At 41.0% G+C, this 1,765-nt stretch overlaps 1 annotated feature.

The window, feature by feature from the left end:
* Positions 286 to 1,485: an enhancer, noted in NCBI's record as "CDK7 strongly-dependent group 2 enhancer chr9:38767852-38769051 (GRCh37/hg19 assembly coordinates)". NCBI's record gives its function as "activates an origin of replication core promoter dependent on BRD2, BRD4, P300/CBP, MED14 and CDK7 cofactors, with strong dependence on CDK7, by STARR-seq in HCT116 cells {active_cell/tissue: HCT116}" and the evidence as "EXISTENCE:reporter gene assay evidence [ECO:0000049][PMID:35650434]".

Genomic DNA, 1,765 nt, shown 5'->3' with positions numbered 1-1,765 from the left:
TTAATATAGCATCACATACTTCCACAACAATAATTAATTGGTCTCTTTGTTTTAATAGTTAAACGTTTATTTCTGCTGTTTCATGTTTTATCACAAGGACCAAAAGACCCAGAATGATTTGAATGTAGAACTGGGAACACAGGGAGCCTATAGGAGAATTCCCCCAAATGAACAGGTGGCTAAAGGCAAATGCCTCTCCTGACACATCAGAGCTGGGGCAGTCCCAAATGAGAGCTCCCTGGGGAGGCCCCAGGCTGTGGGGCGGCCACCTCTGGAGTGTGGATTCCACAGGAACTCAGAGGAGAGGTAAGGGGGAGGCCTTAAGGCCCCGGAACTGAGATGATGGAAAACCAGAGTCTGTGCTGTTTCATGGAGCACCTGGGGGAATCTGGAATGGGATCCTCTATCCCATGTCACCTATAAGAGAGATCATTGGCTTGGCTTTCTTTCCAGAAGCTGGGAAATATTCCTTTTATTTTATTATGTTTGCATTTATATTTTTCTTTTTTTTGGGGGGCAGTTTTTTAGTTTTGTAAAGAGTGTTCTGAATGGTAGAGAGAGGAGGTGGTGTGCGGTGTTTCAGCTTGTACTCAAAGCTCCAGCACCGTATTTCGCCTGCGCTACACCTACGGTGCTGAACCTCGACTGGCACAGCATTTGTCAGACTCCTCCTGGATGGACATTCCACGTCACTGACTATAAATTTCAAAAGGCTCCACAGAAAACTTCACCACACCAGGGTCACATTCTCAGAATAGAAGCACTCTTCTAACAGTCACATGAAATGAACATCAATGTCCCAGATGTTCCTACGCACCCTTGAGTCACTTTCTATTAGAGGAATAATCACGATTTGCCTTCCTTGATGTCTGAATTTATTTATATTGTAATGTTACTTATCTACTCACTTCACAGGTGTGGATGAGTCACAAATGGCAGCTAGAATCTTGACTAACTGCCTCTCACTGATGAATAAAACGGCAAGCTTTTGTAGGTTGAGCAAGGTTATTTGGAAGAGAAGTAATCTTTTTCTGTGTAGGCAAAATGCATGCAGTTTGTCCAGCCTAAGAGAAAGTGAGAAACATTGAGAAAATTAGACATTTAGCTACAAAGCTAAGGAAATTAAACATTAAGCTACAAAGTTAAGGAAATAATTATGAGTTATTAGATAATTCCAGTAGGGAAACCCCAATTGGCTTGGTGTCATCATTATGACAGTAAACTCAGTTTAAAAATTGTTATAGTAGTTTTATTCACAGGAGACCAAAACTGCAAACAACCCAAATCAAAACTTGAATGGAATACTATATAGCAATGAAAAATAATGGATCACTGCCATTCAAAAGAATATGAATGACTCTCAAAGGCATAACGTTGAGAAAAATAACACAGATCTGGAGAGTATTGTAATTACCACTGCATACAGCATGGGGGAGGAGGTAATACATGCAATGGGCCCCTGGGGAACTTTCTAGGTGCTAGAAATGTTGTATATCTTTATATGAGAAGTGGTTGTATGCTGTATAAGTATGTAAAAGTTCATTGAATTGTACATGTAAGATTAGTGTACTTTCTTATACTCTGTGTAAGTTATACCGCATTAATAATAATAATGCCAGTCCTTGAGGAAATGGTTAATTCCGGGTCTGGGCAATAGAAGTAGTCGGTGAACAGTTACCTTGTTATGTCAGAAATCAAGGGAGCACTGAAAGCACAAGAGGGCTGCGCCAGAGCAACACGAGAGCCCGCTTGAAGAGGTTCACGT

This window comes from Homo sapiens, chromosome 9, assembly GCF_000001405.40.
Source record: "Homo sapiens chromosome 9, GRCh38.p14 Primary Assembly".
NCBI lineage: Eukaryota > Metazoa > Chordata > Mammalia > Primates > Hominidae > Homo > Homo sapiens.
The sequence above is the reverse complement of the archived record's forward strand: the minus strand, read 5'-3'. Positions and strand labels throughout refer to the sequence as shown.